A 19892-nucleotide genomic window follows, 5' to 3' on the forward strand; every position below is an offset into this window, starting at 1 on the left:
GTTTAATTATATGGACACATACTTTCAATGACTTATTTTCTTTAGGGATTCGTTAACTCATTTAGTCCACCAGCATACTGATGACGTAAACTCATGCAGTTTATTCAGCAAAGATATTCTTATGCAAGCATTATGCAGCACACCTCATGTTTAGTCATCTAGTTTACCTTCTGGCCTATAAGCTGGATTCATCTATGATAGTCCTGATTTGCAAAGTTCTCCTTCTCTTCTTTGGTGTGTGGTGTTAGGGAAGGGAGTTAGCTCTCTGGTCTTGTGTGTTGAATGAAGAGGTAGTTGAATCTGAATGGAAAGAGTGGTGATCAGGGTAAGAAGGGCTCTTTAGTGAGACTAAGAGGCATCAAACCAACATAGAATGTTTATCTTCTAGAAGATGAAAAGATCAAAATTTTTAATCAGCTTTTTAAAAGTCCAAACACTTATAAATGCAGAAGTTTAAAATATATTCACAGATACAAAGTATATACCCAAATTTCACGACTTTACCTCATATATAGGACAAATAGGCACTTTCCACGTGGCATCAGGAAAAATTACTCCAGCCTAAAATTCTTCCCCTACAATAACTGTATATCCTGAAATTGCATTAATATTTGTTCTGAAAATTAGTCATTAAAGTAAAATATATAAGGTAATTTTCACTGCTTTTTTAATATTTATTTCACTTATCATCTAAAAATTGTACTTAGCAGTACTCAATGGAAATGAAAAGAAGTCACAGGAAAAGTCAGAGGAGGCATGGGTACCCCATAAAAGGATGAAGACACTGAGTGATCCCTCAAAATAGGGGGAGGAGAGCACAATAGTAAAAAGAGAACATGAAAGGACCCTTAAGGAATAAACCAGTTTATAAATATGCTACATGTAATATATTCAATATAACGTATACTAAATATATATAGTTCTAATAATTTCACTCACAGTTATACACATACATACCCATAAAAACATACATACATGCGTAAGTCTTCCGATTCTCTCATTTATGTTAATTCCCACCCATTTAGCTACACTAAATTGTACTCGTTTTACTTGTATCAAAGGAATAAAATAAAGCCAGACACACATCACTCTTGTTCTAATCTGTTTAATGCAGCCTGCTCATTGTCAATTTACCCATCCCAATCAAAGGAGACTTCTCCTGTATTTTTAACACACACTCACACACAATACCTCCAAAGAAACGCGATGAGAGATCAATTCACAGTCATGAACCAGCTCCTTATTTGTAGGAATATGTTTGTTTTAGGCTTGTAGAAGAATTTTATTTTACCATGATGCAAAATTTAACATGGGCACTATATAATCTCCCCTCACCCAGATGAACATCACTTTAAACCAGTTCGCCATTAAAAGTTAAGAATCATGGGCATGGTATAGAAATAAAATCAAAGCATAAAAAGAAATAAATATGTTACAAGAAAAAAAGTTTTCCACATTTTTTTCACACTAATAATCATATTTTAATACAGAAAGGAAGCTTAAGCCATAGAGTTCAAACCATTATTACCTTCAAGTGACAACTCAGTGTCTAAGGCTCATGTATTGGTTGTCGGGGCTGTTATTTGAGATTGGAGATCACTGAAGATCAGCAAATCAGGAGACACTGGCAAGGACGCAGGACACTGAATCCAAAAAGATCCCAGGGACACAGTTCTCCCAACATGCAATTAATATCAGGCTCTGTAGTATCCAAAGATGAAATGTCCCAGGAGTTTATTCTGAAAGAAATAATTTTGACTCTCTGATCTTTCAATATTGTGTAAATCTAGGCAAAACCACAAAGATATTTAACTTCTGCCCTCATAGCCTCCCAACGTTCAATTTTCTCATTTCTGCTGTTAAGTTTCTATCAAAAATCTAGTATTTTATATATGCAAGTACATATAATTAATTTATCCTGTTGACTCATAACTTTAAATTCTCTTCTTAATAACTTTAAATTTTGGGGCACCTTGCCTTTACCTCACCTCTACTGAGACAAAAACGGCAGGCCTGCAGCCTTCCAACAGGGCCTTTTCCCTCATATCTAATAGGCACTTGACTGTTGCTGGAGATAAATATATAAATGTTTTGAACGGCGCCCTTAAACACCCCTGGTCTTTCTCAACTTCCAATGGGCTCTCTTCTGTCCAGAGGTCATTCTGTGTGTATCCTGTTTGTCTCTTGCATCACCATAGCAAATGTTCAACAAATTCTTAAATCCTCCAATCCAGTGTCCCACAGCTCTCCAAGCAGGTTATCTTGCCCTGACTTCCAAGACAAAACAGAGGGCCCAGGGGGAAATTCCATTAACTTCCTGTCTGTCACCTATAAATGTATATACATTCATACTCTTCCTTTATGATTTTTTTTCAGGTCTCAATAGAGGAAGTGAACCTCTATTTGTTTAAGGCAAATTCTATAAATATTTTAGGGTCCAAGAAAAATCTAATGCATATTCAAGTACAAGCAGGTGATATGAATGACTGAGTGGATAAGGTATAAGAAAAACAATTGTAGAAATGCAATGATAAGTGTCAACAAACATTTAGCTGAGGTCTATATGCAGTAATAAAAGAGTGGTGAACATTTTGCTGCACATGCCACATCTGAAGAAAACAACAACTGCTGAGCGCTAGTTGACCAATTTTCTATGCATTGAGCCCCAGGATTGCAAAATATTCTGAATTCTCAATGGAATCTAGATTTTTATGAAAGCTTTCATTTAAAAAAATAGTTTAGTTAGTGGGTGCAGCGCACCAGCATGGCACATGTATACATATGTAACTAACCTGCACAATGTGCACATGCACCCTAGAACTTAAAGTATAATAAAAAAAAGAAAAAAAGAAAAAAAAATGTTTGCTGAAGGCAAAAAAAAAAAAGTTTATATAAAATAGTTCATGAAGGTGCAACTTAATTATTACAAAGTGAACAAATTTTGATCAAGAAAACAATGTAAGAAACATTCTAGAATGACTCTCAATTTCATTTCCTTATGCTACTTATACCTGCCCCTTGTAACCATTATTATGATTTTTTTGAACTATATATAAACAAAATCATACAGCATTATTTCTTTTGTTTCTGCTTATATTTATTCAATGTTATCTTTGGGAGATTCATTTATGTGGTTGCGTATACCAATACAGCACTATATTTTTACTGCATTGTATTTCATTGTATAAATATGCCACAACTATTTTATCCTTTGTAGTACTGATAGGCTAGACATTTGGGTGCTTATGATTTTTGTCTTTTGTGAATATTGCTGCTGCAGTCACTTTAGTATATGTGTTTGGTAAGAAATGTAAGCATTTTGGCAGGGACGATACTGTGGAGAAATTGCTTAGGTTTGAGGTATGCATATATTCAGCTTTGGTAGATACCACCAATTCTGGAAGTTGGTTGCACAAACTTAAACTCCACAGTATGGTGAGAATTACAGTTGCTCCAAATCTATACTAACAGTGTTTTCTGTCCTCTTAATTTTAGCCATTCTGGTGATATATCATGAATATATCATTATGATTTTAATTTGTACTCACCTACTAACTAATGAAGTTGACCAGTTTCTCTTATATTTATAGTCATTGAGAAATCTTTTGTGTAGTATCCATTCAAGTCCTTGACTTTTTCCAAATTCATTTGTAGGAAATTTTTATATATGCCAGAGGTTTAAAAAATAGAAGGCAAGTTTCAAATACTATTTTAGTCAAGTATAACTTTGGCAACAAAACAAAATTTTAAAATTGCATGATAGTCCCATGAATTAACATAGATTTGAAAATATTACCAATTAATTCAATTATTTAAAATATTCTACACACTGCTGAAAGTAAATTTATTCCAGAAAAAAATGAAATTCATTTTTTCATTGTGTTAGCAAAATAACACAATAAAGAAACAACATTTTATAATCATATCATCAGATAAAAAATCAAGTATTTGATAAGTCTCAAAATATATAAAAATAATAAAAATGACTTAGTAAGCTATGAAAAGAATGATAGATCCTAATCTGTTAAACAGGATCCGAAAACCCTTTCAGCAAGCATTATGAATATGTTGAAAATTTTCTCTTTGAAATTGAGGAAAAGACAAGGACACCTTCTATTTCCATTTCCATTCAAACTACTTTGTTGTAGAGACTTTAGCCAGTATAATAGGATAAGACAAGGAACAAGCAAGATTGCAGTAGAAGAAATAAAATTTCATTATTATATATATGATTATGTATGTAGAAAATTCAAAGTGATTACAACTATTCATAGATGATTCAAAATTGTATAGATATTAATTATATCTTTGATCTCTATATTCAGTGCTAACTCAATCAAAATTCAGACTATTTGTAAAATTTTCTAAGATTATTCTAAAATGTATATAGAATACCAAGTTGTATATAGAATATCAAGTATCATTAATTCTGAGACACTCTTGAAGAAAAAATTGTCAACAAAAAAGAGTCAAACTCCATGAAATATTTAAAGAGTTTTATTCTGAGCCAAATGTGAGTAATTGACGGCCTGAGGCGCAGTCTCAAGACATCCTGAGAACAAGTGCCCAAGGTGATTGAATTACAACTTGATTTACATTTTAGGAGCATGTAAAAAATCAGTCAATACATGTGGGGTCTGTGTTGGTTCAGTCATGAAAGGTGGAACAACTCAAAGTGGGGCCTTCCACATCAAAGGTAAATTCAAAGATTTTCTTATTGGCAATTGGTTGAAAAACTTGTTACTATTTAAATGCCTAGAATCAATAGAAAGGAGTGTCTGGATTAAAATAAGGGATTGTAGAGAACAAGGTTCTTATTATGTAGATGAAGTCTCATAAGTGGTCACCCTTACAAGCAATAGATGGGAAATATTTTGTATTCAGACCTTTAAAAGATACTGGACTCTCAACTAAACTCTTCAGGATCAGAAAAAGACCTGGAAAGCAAAGGCGATTCGCTACAGAATGTAAATTTCCCCCACCAGAAGCAGCTTTGCAGGGACATACTCTCCTCCCTTTGGAATTCAGGCATAACTTACCAGCATTATTAACTTTAAAACAGAGATCTTAATTAAGACTGACAAAACAGATTCCTTATAGCAATAACATACCAAATTGCAACCTGACTCTAGTATAGCATCACATGATAGATAGCCAGTCCTGAAAGAAATCAAAGTATTTTACCCCAAAATAGATTTCTTTGACACCTTTTGGAATGCCTTTGAAAAGCTGTTGAAGTGGCATCGTTGTCTGGGGTAAATACCCAGGGTTCATCGTCTTGCACTAAGAAGATTAAGGACACGGACACATGTGGGTGTGTTAAGGAGCAGAGAGTTTAACAGGCAGAAGAAAGGAGAGAGGCAAGCAGCTCTCTCTCTCTCTCTCCCTCGTGAGAAAGAGGTTTTTGAAAGGGAAACAACTGGCTTGCGGCAGACCACAGCAGATTTTATAGGCAAGCTTGAGGAGGAGCCGGTGTCTGATTTACACAGGGTCACAGATTGGTTCTACCAGGTGTGACATTTACATAGCCCGCAGGGAAGTCTGGTTGACCCACCTTAATCTTATGGCCAGCACCATCTTGTCTGCTCCTTATTCTACACGTGGCTGACAAAGAGAAGGGAAGATGGAGCCACCATTTTGATCATGCTTAATCCCAGGTAGCCTTTTTCTATTAGCACAACTGCCAGCATTGATCAATGCAAACTTCCTGTTTGCTTGTCTATGTCTGCAGCTAGATTCTATACAGGCTGCTCTTTGTTAGAAAAAATGATTTGGGGGCTGCTTTTTATTAAAAGGAAAACCTTACCCAGGAAGGATTTCCTTACCCTCACTATCTGCCTAAATAATTTGTTTATAACACCTATATTATTGTTTCTTGTGGGGAAAATCTACATTCTGTATAGAATTCGCTACCCTTTCCAGGTCTTTTCCAGATCCAGGAGAGATTTAACTAATAGTCTGACACTTTTTAAGATCTCATAAGAGACATTTACTACTTAATTTTTTCTGAAGCCTGCCACCTGAAGACTTTATTTACATAACAAGAACCTTGGCTTCCACAACTCCCCCTATCTTAAACCCAAGCATTTCTGCTGACTTCGACTTTTTTTTTTCTAATAAAAACTTTATTTTAGGTTCAGGGGTACGTGTGAAGGTTTGTTACAGAAGGGAAACTGTGTCACAGGGGTTTGTTGTACAGATTATTTCATCACCCATGTATTATGCTCAGTATCCAATAGTTATCTTTTTCCCCTCCTACCCCTTCTCCCACCTTCCACCCTCAAGAAAATCTGTTTCTGTTTTTTCCTTCTTTGTGTTTATGAGTTCTCATAATTTAGCTCCCACTTATAAGTGAGAACATGTGGTATTTATTTATTTGTTCCTGCATTAGTTAGCTAAGGATAATGGCCTCTAGCTCCATCCATGCTCCCACAAAATACATGATCTTTTTTTTATAGCTGTATATACCACATTTTTAAAATCTAATTTGTCATTGGTAGGCATTTAGGTTGATTCCATGTCTTGCTTTTCTGGATAGTGCTGTGATGAACATTTACCTGCACATGTGCTGTATCCTTTTTTTTTTTTTTTTGAGACAGGATGTCACTCTCTCGCCCAGGCTGCGGCGCAGTGGCACAATCATGGCTCACTGCAGTCTTGACCTCCCCAGTCTCGGGTGATCCTCCCATCTCAGCTTCCCTGGTAGCTGGGACCACAGGCATGCACCACCACACCCGGCTAATTTTTGTATTTTTGGTAGAAATGCGGTTTGGCCATGTTGCCCACGCTGGTCTCAAAGTGCTTGGATTATAGCTGAGAGCCGCTGCACCTGGCCACATGTGTCTTTACAGTAAAATGATTTCTATTCTTCTGGGTGTATACCCAGTAATGGGATTGCTGGGTTGAATGGTAGTTTTGCTTTTAGCTCTTTGAGGAATAGCCATACTGTTTCCACATTGGCTTAACCAATTTATACTCCCATCAACAGCGTATAAGTGTTCCCTTTTCTCTGCAACCTTGCCAGCATCTGTTATTTTTTTACGTTTTAATAATAGCCATTCTGACTGGTGTGAGATGGTATCTCATTCTGGATTTGATTTGCATTTCTCTGATGACCAGTGATATTGAGCTTTTTTTTTTTTCATATGCTTACTGGCCACATGTATGTGTTCTTTGGAAAAGTGTCTGTTCATGTCCTTTGCCCACTTTTTAATGGGGTTGTTTGTTTTTCTCTCATAAATTTGTTTAAGTTCCTCATAGAAGCTGGATATTAGCTAGTTATCCCAGCATGTTTGATGGAATAGGGAGTCTTTTCCCCTTTGTTTTTGTCAGTTTTGTTGAAGATCAACTGGTCATAGGTGTGCATTCTTATTTCTGGGCTCTCTATTCTGTTCCATTGGTCTATGTACCTGTTTTTGTACCAGTACAATGCTGTTTGGTTACCATAGTTCTGTAGTGTAGTTTAAAGTTGGGTGATGCCTCTAGCTTTGTTCTTTTTGCTTTGGATTGCCTTTGCTATTCGGGCTTTGTTTTGGTTCCATATGAAATTTAAAATAGATTTTCCTAGTTCTGCAAAGAATGTTGTTGGTATTTTGATAGGAATATCATTGAATATGTAAATTGCTTTGGGCAGTATGGCCATTTTAATAATATTGATTCTTCCTATCCACGAGCATGGGATGTTATTCCATTTGTTTGTGTCTTCTCTGATTTCTTTAAGCACGGATCTGATTTCTTTGTAATTCTCATTGTAGAGATCTTTCACCTACCTGGTTAGCTGTACCCCTAAGTATTCTATCCTTTCTGTGGCAATTGTAATTCCCAAATTAGAAAAGGATTGCCTTTCTAATTTGGCTCTTGGCTTGGCTGTTGGTGTATAGTAATGCTAGTGATTTTTGTATATGGATTTGTATTCTGAAACTTTGCTGAAGTTGTGTATCAGCTGAAGGAGCTTTTATGCTGAGGCAATGGGGTTTTCTAGATATAGTATCATGTGGTCTGCAAACAGATAGTTTGCCTTTCTTTCTTCCTATTTACATGCCATTTTTTTCTTTCTCTTGCCTGATTACTCTGGTTAGGAGCAATTCCTATATATATGTGTGTGTGTGTGTATATACACACTTTATATATATATACTTTATATATGTATATACTTTATATATGTATATACTTTATATATACTTTATATATGTATATATACTTTATATATACTTTATATATATATACTTTATATATATACTTTATACATATATATTATATATTATATATTTTAAGTTCTGAGATACATGTGTAGACGTGGAGGTTTGTTACATAGGTATACACGTGCCATGGTGATTGATGCACCCATCAACCTGTCATCTACATTAGGTATTTCTCCTAATGCTATCCCTCCCCTGGCCCCCCACCCCCTAAAAGACCACAGTGTGTGATGCTCCCCTCCCTGTGTCCATATGTTTTTATTTTTCAACTCCCAGTTATGAGTGAGGACATGCAGTGTTTGGTTTTCTGTTCCTGTGTTAGTTTGCTGTGAACGATGATTTCCAGCTTCATCCATGTCCCTGCAAAGGACATGAACTCATCCTTTTTTTTATGGCTGCATAATATTCCATGGGTTATATGTGCCACATTTTCTTTATCCAGACTATCATTGATGGGCATTTGGGTTGGTTCCAAGTCTTTGCTATTGTAAACAGTGCTGCAATAAACATACGTGTGCTTGTGTCTTTATATTAGAATGATTTATAATCCTTTGGGTATATACCCAGTAATGGGAATGCTGGGTCAAATGGTATTGCTGGTTCTAGATCCTTGAGGAATTGCTGCACTGTCTTCTACAATGGTTGAACTAATTTTCACTCCCAAGAACAGTATAAAAGCATTCCTATTTCTCCATATCCTCTCCAGTATCTGTAGTTTCCTAACTTTTTAATGATCGCCATTCTAACTGGCATGAGGTGGTACCTCACTGTGGTTTTGATTTGCATTTCTCTAATGACCAGTGATGATGAGCTTTTTTTCATGTTTGTTGGCCACATATATGTCTTCTTTGGAGAAGTGTCGATTCATTTGCTTCACCCACTTTTTGATGGGGTTGTTTGTTTTCTTCTTGTAAATTTGTTTAAGTTCCTTGTAGATTCTGGATATTGGCCCTTTGTCAGATGGATAGATTGCAAAAATTGTCTCCCATTCTGTAGGTTACCTTTTCACTCTGTTGTTAGTTTCTTTTGCTGTGCAGAAGTTCTTTACTTTAATTAGATCTGATTTGTCTATTTTGGCTTTTGTTGCCATTGCTTTGGTGTTTTAGTCATGAAGTCTTTGCCCATCCTGAATGGTATTGCCTAGGTTTTCTTCTAGGGTTTTTATGTTTTTAGGTCTTACATTTAAGTCTTTAATTCATCTTGAGTTAGTTTTTGTATAAGGTGTAAAGAAGGGGTCCAGTTTCAGCTTTTTGCATATGGCCAGCCAGTTTTTTCAATACCATTTATTAAATAGGGAATCCTTTCCCCATTGCTTGTTTTTTGTCAGGTTTGTCAAAGATCAGATGGTAGTAGACATGTGGCATTATTTCTGAGGCCTCTATTTTGTTCCATTGGTCTATATATCTGTTTTGGTACCAGTACCATGCTGTTTTGGTTACTGTACCCTTTTAGTATAGTTTGAAGTCAGGTAGTGTGATGCCTCTAGCTTTGTTCTTTTTGCTTAGGATTGTCTTGGCAATACGGGATGGGCTCTTTTTTGGTTCCATATGAAATTTAAAGTAGTTTTTTCTAATTCTGTGAAGAAAGTCAGTGGTAGCTTGATGGGGATAGCATTGAATCTATAAATTACTTTGGGCAGTATGGCCTTTTTCACTATATTGATTCTTTCTATCCATGATCATGGAATGATTTTCCATTTGTTTATGTCCTCTGTTATTTCCTTGAGAAGTGGTTTGTAGTTGTCCTTGAAGAGGTCCTTCACATCCCTTGTAAGTTGTATTCCTAGGTATTTTATTCTCTTTGTAGCAATTGTGAATGGGAGCTCATTCATGATTTGGCTTTCTGTTTGTCTATTATTGGTGTATAGAAATGCCTGTGATTTTTGCACATTGATTATGTATCCTAAGACTTTGCTGAAGTTGCTTATCAGCTTAAGGAGATTTTGGGCTGAGGTGATGGGGTTTCCTAAATATACAATCATGTTATCTGCAAACAGATACAATTTGACTTCCTCTCCTCCTAATTGAATATGCTTTATTTCTTTCTCTTGCCTGATTGCCCTGGCCAGAACTTCCAATACTGTGTTGAATAGGAGTTGTGAGAGAGGGCATCCTTGTCTCGTGCTGGTTTTCAAAGGGAATGCTTCCAGCTTTTGCCCATTCGGTATGATATTAGCTGTGGGTTTGTCATAAATACCTCTTACTATTTTTAGATATGTTCCATCAATACCTAGTTTATTGAGTGTTTTTAGAATCAAGGGTTGTTGAATTTTATCAAAAGCCTTTTCTGCAGCTATTGAAATAATCATGGGGTTTTTATCATTGGTTCTGTTTATGTGATGGATTATGTTTATTGATTTGTGTATGTTGAACCACCCTTGCATCTCAGGGATGAAGCTGACTTGATCATGGTGAATAAGCTTTTTGATGTACTGCTTGATTTGGTTTGCCAGTATTTTATTGAGGATTTTTGCATCAATGTTCATAATGGATATTGGCCTGAAATTTTCTTTTTTCATTGTGTCTCTGCCAGGCTTTGGTATCAGAATGATGCTGGCCTCATAAAATGAGTTAGGGAAGAGTCCCTCTTTTTCTATTGTTTAGAATAGTTTCAGAAGGAATGATAGCAGCTCTTCTTTGTGCCTCTGGTACAATTCGGCTGTTTATCCATCTGGTCCTAGGCTTTTTTTGTTGGTAGGCTATTAATTACTGCCTCAATTTCAGAACTTGTTATTGGTCTATTCAGGAACTGGATTTCTTCTTAGTTTAGTCTTGGGAGGATGTATGTGTCCAGGAATTTATCCCTTTCTTCTAGATTTTCTAATTTATTTGCATAGAGGTGTTTACAGTATTCTCTGGTGGTAATTTGTATTTCTGTGGGATCAGTGGTAATATCTCCTTTATCATTTTTTATTCTGTCTATTTGATTCTTCTCTCTTTTCTTCTTTATTAGTCTGGCTAGTAGTTTATCTATTTTGTTAATCTTTTCAAGAAACCGACTCCTGGATTCATTGATTTTTGAAGGATTTTTCATGTCTCTATCTCCTTCAGTTCTGCTCTGTTCTTAGTTATTTCTTATCTTCTGCTAGCTTTTGACTTTGTTTACTCTTGCTTCTCTGGTTCTTTTAATTGTGATGGTAGGGCGTTGATTTTAGATCTCTCCCCCTTCCTCCTGTGGGCATGTAGTGCTATAAATTTCCCTGTAAACACTGCTTTAGCTGTGTCCCAGAGATTCTGGTATGTTGTGTCTTTGTTCTCATTGGTTTCAAAGAATCTATTTATTTCTGCCATAATTTTGTTATTTACCCAGTAGTCATTCAGGAGCACATTGTTCAGTTTCCATATAGTTTTACAGTTTTGAGTGAGTTTCTTAATCCTGAGTTCGAATTTGATTAAACTGTGGTCTGAGAGACTGTTTGTTATGATTCCCATTCTTTTGCATTTTCTGAGGAGAGTTTTACTTCCAATTATGTGGTCAATTTTAGAATAAGTGCTATGTGGTGCTGAGAATAATGTATGTTCTGTTGATTTGGGGTGGAGAGTTCTATAGATGTCTATTAGGTCCACTTGGTCCAGAGCTGAGTTCAAGTCCTTAATATTCTTGTTAATCTTCTGTCTAATTGATCTGTCTAATATTAACAGTGGGGTGTTAAAGTCTCCCACTATTATTGTATGGGAGTCTAAGTCTCTTTGTAGGTCTCTAAGAACTTGCTTTATGAATTTGGGTATTCTTGTATTGGGTGCATATATATTTAGGATAGTTGCATTGATCCCTTTACCATTATGTATTGCCCTTCTTTGTCTTCTTTGATCTTTGTTGGTTTAAAGTCTGTTTTATCAGAGACTGGGATTGCAACCCTTGAAGTCTTTTGCTTTGCATTTGCTTGTTAGATGTTCCTCCATTCCTTTACTTTGAGCCTATGTGTGTCTTTGCACATGAGATGGGTCTCCTGAATACAGCACACTGATGGGTCTTGACTCTTTTTCCAGTTGGCCAGTCTGTGTCTCTTAATTGGGGCATTTAGCTCATTTACATTTAAGGTTAGTATTGTTATGTGTGAATTTTATCCTGTCATTATGATGCTAACTGGTTATTTTGCCCATTAGTTAATGCACTTTTTTCATAATGTCGATCATCTTTACAATATGGTATGTTTTTGCAGTGGCTGGTACCGGCTTTTCCTTTCCCCACTTATTGCTTCCTTTAGAAGCTCTTGTAAGGTAGGCCTGGGGGTGACAAAATCTCTCATTATTTGCTGTCTGTAAAGAGTTTTATTTCTCCTTTGCTTATGAAGCTTAGTTTGGCTGGGTATAGAATTCTGGGTTGAGAATTCTTTTCTTTTAGAATGTTGAATATTGGCCCCCACTTTCTTCTGGCTTGTAGGGTTTCTGCAGAGAGATCTGCTGTTAGTCTGAGAGGCTTCTTTTTGTTGGTATTCTGACCTTTCTCTCTGGCTGCCCTTAATATTTTTTCCTTCATTTCAACCTTGGTGAATCTGACAATTACATGTTTTTGGGTTGCTCTTCTTGAGGAGTATCTTTGTGGTGTTCTCTCTATCTCCTGAATTTGAATGTTGGCCTGTCTTGCTAGGCTGGGGAAGGTCTCCTGGATAATATCCTGAAGAGTGTTTTCCAACTTGGTTCCATTCTTCTAGTCACTTTCAGGTATACCAATCAAATGTAGGTTTGGTCTTTTCACATAGTCCCATATTTCTTGGATGCTTTGTTCATTCCTTTTCATTCTCTTTTCTCTAATCTTGGCTTCATGCTTTATTTCATTAATTTGATCTTCCATCTCTTGTATACTTTCTTCCACTTGATTGATTCAGCTATTGATACTTGTGTATTCTTTACGAAGTTCTCGTGGTGTGTTTTTCAGCTCCATCAGGTTATTTATATTCTTCTCTAAATTGGTATTCTAGTTAGCAATTCCTCTAAACATTTTTCAAGGTTTTTAGCTTCCTTGCATTGGGTTAGAACATGCTCTTTTAGCTCAGAGGAGTTTGTTATTACCCACCTTCTGAAGCCTACTTCTGTCAATTTGTCAAATTCATTCTCGATCCAGTTTTGTTCCCTTGCTGGTGAGGATTTGTGATCTTTGGAGTAGAAGAGGTGCTCTGATTTTTGGTATTTTCAGCCTTTTTGTGCTGTTTTTTTTTTCTCATCTTCATGGATTTATATACCTTTGGCTTTTGATGTTGGTGACCTTCAGATGGGATCCTGAGTAGACATTTTTCTCTTGATGTTGATACTATTCCTTTCTGTTTGTTAGTATTTCTTCTAACCATCAGGCCTCTCTGCTGCAGGTCTCCTGGAGTTTGCTGGAGGTCCACTCCAGACCCTGTTCACCTGGGTATCACCAGCAGAGGTTGCCGGACAGCACAGATTGCTGCCTGTTCCTTCCTCTGGAAGCTTTGTTTAGGAGGGGCACCTGCTGGATGCCAGCTGGAGCTCTCCTGTATGAGGTGTCTGTCGATCCCTGCTGGGAGGTGTTTTTCAGTCAGGAGGCATGGGGGTCAGCGACCCACTTGAGGAGGCAGTCTGTTCCTTAGCAGAGCTCGGGCACTGTGCTGGGTGATCCACTGCTCTCCTCAGAGCTGGCAGTCACGAATGTTTAAGTCTCGAATTTGTTAATTCTTAATAAAAATGATACACATTTCTCATGTGCTCACATGATCACAGCTGTACTGTTAATATAATATGTAGCTGAATGAGAAAATAGTTAATTGAAAAAGTGATTATGATGTGAATAATGCTTTTTAGTAATTTCTTTGTCAATTAAATATTTTTCAGTTTTTATTGTTAATTAAGAAATTGATACACAACTATTGTACATGTTTCTGAGGTGCTTGTGATATTTTGATAAATCTCTATGATAACAATAATTTATTGTTTATTTCAAAATAGCTAGAAGAAAGACTTAGCATGTTCCCGACACAAATAAATGCTATATTTCTTTTTTCCCCCACTAAATATTATGTTTAATGTTTTACTGGTTCATGTAAAAATGTATTTATTTTCACTTCTGACTTGAACATGAGTTGCTTTCAAAGTTACGTTATCTCTGTTACCATAATTATTATTGGACACATTAATAGTTTAGTTTTATGATTACTCTTTTATCATCTGTGTATTCAGAGATCAGTTTACCCTACTTTTGAGATAAGAATAAATGGAAAACATGAATCCTACAAACTGGTTATGACAATCAATGGTAGCAGTACATTTTAAAGAAATATCACTGACCCCAAAAATCCATCAGAGACTATTTCGAGCACCTCTATGCACAAAAACTAGAAAACCTAAAAGAAATGGCTGAATTCCTAGAAACACACTACCTTTCAAGATTCAACCAAGAAGAAAGTAAAACCCTGAACAGACCAATAATGAGTTCTGAAATTGAATCAGTAATTTAAAAACTTACAAATCAGAAAAAGCCCTGTACCAGGCAAATTCACAGCTGAATTCCACTAGACATATAAAGAAGTGCTGGTACCAATTCTACTGAAACTATTCCAAAAAATAGAGGAGAAGTTACTCCTCCATGTTATACATGTCCATGTGAAGAGACCACCAAACAGGCTTTGTGTGAGCAATAAAGCTTTTAATCACCTGGGTGCAGGCAGACTGAATCCGAAAAAGGAGTCAGCAAAGGGAGATGGGGTGGGGCAGTTTTCTAGGATTTGTGTAGGTAGTGGAAAATTACTGTTAAAGGGGGTTGTTCTCTTGCAGGCAGGGGCAGGGGTCACAAGGTGCTCAGTGGGGAGCTCCTGAGATTCACTGTCCAGGAGAAGGAGTGTCACAAGGTCAATGCTCAGTTAGGGTGGGACTGGAACAAATCACAGTGGTGGAATGTCATCAATTAAGGCAGGAACTGGCTATTTTCACTTCTTTTATGGTTCTTCAGTTGCTTCAGGCCATCTGGATGTATATGTGCAGGTCACAGGGGATATGATGGCTTAGCTTGGGCTCAGAGGCCTGACATTACTGTCTTCTTATATTAATAAGAAAAACAAAACAAAATAGTGGTGATGTGTTGGGGGCAGCAAAAATTTTGGGGGGGGTGGTATGGAGAGATAATGGGCAATGTTTCTCAGGGCTGCTTCAGGCAGGATTAGGGGTGGCATGGGAACCTAGAGTGGGAGAGATTAAATTGAAGAAACATTTTGTGGTAAGGGGTGATATCGTGGGGTTGTTGGAAGGAGCATTTGTTGTATAGAATGATTGGTGATGGCCTGGATGCAGTTTTGTATGAACTGAGAAACTAAATGGAAGACACTAGGTCTGAATAAGAGAAGGAGAAAAACAGGTATTAAAGGGCTAAGAATTTGGAGGACCCAGGACATCCAATTAGAGAGTGAGTGCCCAAGGGGGTTCAGTGTAATTATTTGCTTGGTTGGTGAGTTTTTGGGCTCTATCCGTGAGTTTTTTTAGGTTGTCGTATACCAGGCCAGATTGATTTAGGTAAAAACAATACTCTTCATTTAAAAATATAGAGTCTCCCTTTTTCAGCAGTGAGTAAGTCAAGGCCTCATGGTTTTGGAGGACAACCGCAACTGAAGAGTCAACCTGCGCCTGAAGGACTGATAAAGATTGTGATATGTCTGCAATGCTAGCAGAGAAGTCATTAGAGAGGCTACAGAAGGTTGTGGCAGAGGTTGAATTGCCTGCTATTCCAGTTCCAAGAGCAATAGTGGAGGCAGAAAATATTGGAGTGTGCCCTGCCAGCAAAGATCATCTATCCACTCCAAGAGGGAGTCGAGAGTGGCAGTTTGGGGATAGCACCATGAGATATCAGCTGTGATGGTTTGGAGGAAAAGTGGAAACTGGCAGTGTAAACAAGAGCAGGGCATTTATGAGTAGGTGAGAATGGTGAATTGGAAAATAGCAGGGATGAAAAAGCTTGTGAGTTGCAGTCCAAGAAGTGGGGGCGGGTGTGACTGCATAAAACCCTGTTGTAGAGAGTAAGGCAAGGAAGAACAGACCTAATAAAAATGAAAGGATGTGTTAGGCTTATAAGGGTTATTACTGTTCTTTAGAAATGCGAATGAGTTTTAAGGGAAGTAGGGGAGAGTACTCGCAACTTCCAGGAGGAAGAGGAGAGATCTGGCTGGCTGTCCAATGGACACAGCTTTATTCTGTAATGGTGAACTCAATGGGGAGATTCCTGTAGATGGACGGAAGTTGGGGTGCTATAGATGACTAGGTAGGGTCCGTTCCATCGAGGCTGTAGAGTTTGAGGGGTCAGACTCTTAACAAGAACCGATCATCCAGCTAGGGTGTCTTCATATGGCTGGGAATCTGGAGTAGGCAAGAGAAGATTAGCAGCCTGGCGAATTTCCTGTCTAGCCTGCTGGAGGACTGGAAGATAGTTGCCCAGAGGGCTGGTGTCTGGAATAAGATTGGGGCTGAGCAAGAAAGTGTGTCTATATAAAAGTTCAAATGGACTGTACCCTGTAGCATCTCGAGGGCAGGCTCTAATTCTGAGAAAGGCAAGTGGTAGAAGTACTGTCCAGTCCTTTTTAAGTTAGAGGCTGAGCTTGGTGAGGTGTGTTTTTTAAAGAGCATTAGTCCATTTTACCTTTCCTGAAGATTGAGGACAGTAAGGGGTATGAAGTTTCCACTGAATACCAAGAACCTGAGAGACAGCTTGGGTGATTTGACTAATAAAAGCTGGACCATTGTCAGATTGAATAGAAGTAGGGAGGCCAAATCAGGGAATTATATCTGTTAGAAGGGAAGAAATGACTGCAATAGGCTTTTTGGAACTAGTGGGAAAGTCCTCGAGCCATCCGGTGAAGGTGTCGATCCAAACCAGGAGATACTTAAATTTACGGACATGGGGCATATGAGTAAAGTCTAACTGCCAATCATGAGTTGAAGTAAATCCACAAGCCTGATGCTCAGGAAAAGGAGGAGGCCTGAGAAAGCCTTGGGGGCTGGTGGCATGGCAGACAGAGGATTGAGAGGTTATGGTCTTAAGGATGGACTTCCATGAAGAGAAGGAGATGAGGAGCTGCAGGAATCAAGCCACAGGCTTGTATCCCACATGGAAGTGGTCATGAAGGGAAGAAAGAATGGACTGAGCTTGTGAGGCAGGAAGAATGAATTTTCCATGATTTATAAGAACCACTTGCCTTGAGTTGGAAAAGACTGGTAGAGCAGGTTTTCAGAAAAGTAGGTGGGAGTGTTGGAGGAGAAGGAGAAATACTGGACCTCTGGAGTGAGGGCTGGAATATTAGTGGATGTGGAGGCATCAGCTATTTCTTTTGCCGTCCTGTTGGCATAGGCATTTCCTTTTGCAATAAGATCAGTAGGTTTCTGGTGCCCTTTATAATGAATGACTCCAGCCTTGGCTGGCAGGAAAGCAACCTTAAGGAGGGCCTTTGTTAGGGAGGCATTGATAATGGAAGAGCCTTGTGTGGTAAGGAAGCCTCTTTCAGCCCAGAAGGCAGCATGGTTATGGAGGATATAGAAAGCATATCTGGAGTCAGTATAAATGTCAATGTGCATTCCTTTAGTGAGAGAATGCGGTAGTTAAAGCAATCAGTTCAGCTTATTCGGAAGTGGTGGAGGGAAGTGCAGCAGCTTCAATAGTAGCGGTGTGGGACACGACAACATATCTAGCTTTAGCTGGTGAAAATTGATTGGGTTTAGAAGAACTGCCATCAATAAACCAAGTGTGGTCTGTGTTTGGAATTGGCAGAATAGGAATATGAGGACGGGGGAGGATGCTATGTTTATTAGGGAAATACAGTCAGGTGGTTCAGGACTTGTGCTGGGTGCTAAGTGAGAAAGTGGGTTGAAATCAGGCCTATGGATAATAGTTACTGTTGGAGTTTTAACAAAGAGTGAATAGAGCTGGAGGAGTTGAGGGGCAGACAATAAATGTGAAAGGTATGGGGAGGATATTAATGCTTGAAGGTTGTGAGAACTGTAAAGGGTAAGTGGAGCATAGCCTGTGATTTTGAAGGCCTCTAGAAGTATTAAAGCAGTGCCTGCCGCCCCATGCAGAGCCAGCCCAGAACTGTGAGGTCAAGTTTCTTTGATAGAAAGGCAACAGGTTGTGAGCCTGGCTCCTGTGTGAGGACTCCGGCAGCACAGACTTGTATTTCCGCTGTGTGTAAGGAAAAGGGATGGGACGAGTTGGGGAGTGCAAGTGTAGGAGCTGTCTCCAGGACCTTTTTGAGAAAGTGAAAGGAAGAATGGGGAAAAGACTTAGGATCTATGGGATTAGTTAAGTTATCCTTTGTGAGCTTGTAAAGTGGTTTTGGTTAGAATAGCAAAGCCTGGTATCCAGAGTTGGAAATATCCAACAATGCCTAAGAAGGAAAGGAGTTGTTTGGTGGTGGGGATTGGGGTCTGGGAGATTAACTGAATACGGTCTGCAGGAAGGGCACATGTATGTTGATGGAGGATTATACTGAGATAGGTAACACTAGGAGAAGAAATTTGTGCCTTGGAGGGGGATACTTGGTACCCCTTTCAGTAGAGATGTTGAAGAAGCAGGATAGTGTCCTGCTGGGAAGATTAGTAAGAGGGGCTGCAAAGGAGATCATCAAAATATTGAATAAGGTGAGAGGCAGATGGGGAAGAAGAAAGCAGATCATGAGAAGGGGCCTGGCCAAAGTAGTGTGGGCTGTCCCTGAAGCCTTGGGGCAGAACAGTCCAGGTGAGTTGTTGGGATTAGTGGGTGTCAGGGTCAGTCCAAGTAAAGGCAAAAAGAGGCTGGGAGGAGGGATGCAAGGGGATAGTAAAGAAAGCATCTTTGAGGTCGATAACAGAATAGTGAGTTGTGGAAAGGGGTATTGAAGATAGGAGGGTGTACAGGTTTGGCACTATAGGATGGATGGGAAGGACAATTTGATTAACAAGGTGAAGATCCTGAACCAACCTGTAAGACTTGTCCAGTTTCTGGAGGGGTAGGATAGGGGAGTTGTAAGGAGAATTTGTAGGCTTTAAGAGGCCATGTTGTAACAGGTGAGTTATAACAGGCTTTAACCCTTTTAAAGCCTGCTGTGGGATGGGATATTGGCGTTGAGCAGGGTAAGGGTGATTAGGTTTTAATGGGATGATAAGGGGTGCATGATCGGTTGCCAAAGTAGGAGTAGAGGTATCCCATACGTGTGGATTAAGGTAGGGAGACATAAGGGGAGGATGTGAAGGAGACTTTGAACTGGGGAAAAGGGTGGCAATGAGGTGTGGCTGTAGCCCAGGAATAGTCAGAGAAGCAGATAGTTTAGTTAAAATGTCTTGACCTAATAAGGGAGCTGGGCAGGTGGGGATAACTAAAAAGGAGTGTATAAAAGAATGTTGTCCAAGTTGGCACCAGAGTGGGGGAGTTTTAAGAGGTTTAGAAGCCTGACCATCAATACCCACAACAGTTATGGAGGCAAGGGAAACAGGCCTTTGTAAAGAAGGTAATGTGGAGTGGGTAGCCTCCGTATCAATTAAGAAGGGACTTACCTCCACTGTAAGTTACCTGAAGTGTCTGTGATGGTCCAGGAGGCTTCTGAGGCAATCAGGCAGCATCAGTCTTCAGCCACTAAGCCAAGAAGATCTGGGAAGGAGTCAGTCAGAGAGCCTTGGGGCAGAGTTCCAGGGGCTCTGGGAGTGGCTTTTGGGCAAGCTGGACAGTCCGATTTCGAGTGGGGACCTGCACAGATAGGACACGGCTTAGGAGGAATCCTGGGCT

General features: G+C 38.6%; 2 long non-coding RNA genes across 3 annotated transcripts in view; one reads left to right on the forward strand and one right to left on the reverse strand.

The window, feature by feature from the left end:
- LINC03003 (long intergenic non-protein coding RNA 3003) overlaps positions 1-19892 on the forward strand; it is a 66468-nt gene that overhangs the window by 6762 nt on the left and 39814 nt on the right. The window lies entirely within an intron of this gene.
- On the reverse strand, positions 79-2065 carry LOC105375006 (uncharacterized). Its single transcript, XR_001744077.2, has 3 exons — positions 1989-2065; positions 1529-1739; positions 79-300 (listed from the first exon to the last, which is right to left on the reverse strand). It is a non-coding gene; the product is annotated as an uncharacterized LOC105375006 (long non-coding RNA).

This window comes from Homo sapiens, chromosome 6, assembly GCF_000001405.40.
Source record: "Homo sapiens chromosome 6, GRCh38.p14 Primary Assembly".
In the NCBI taxonomy this organism is placed as follows: Eukaryota; Metazoa; Chordata; class Mammalia; order Primates; family Hominidae; genus Homo; species Homo sapiens.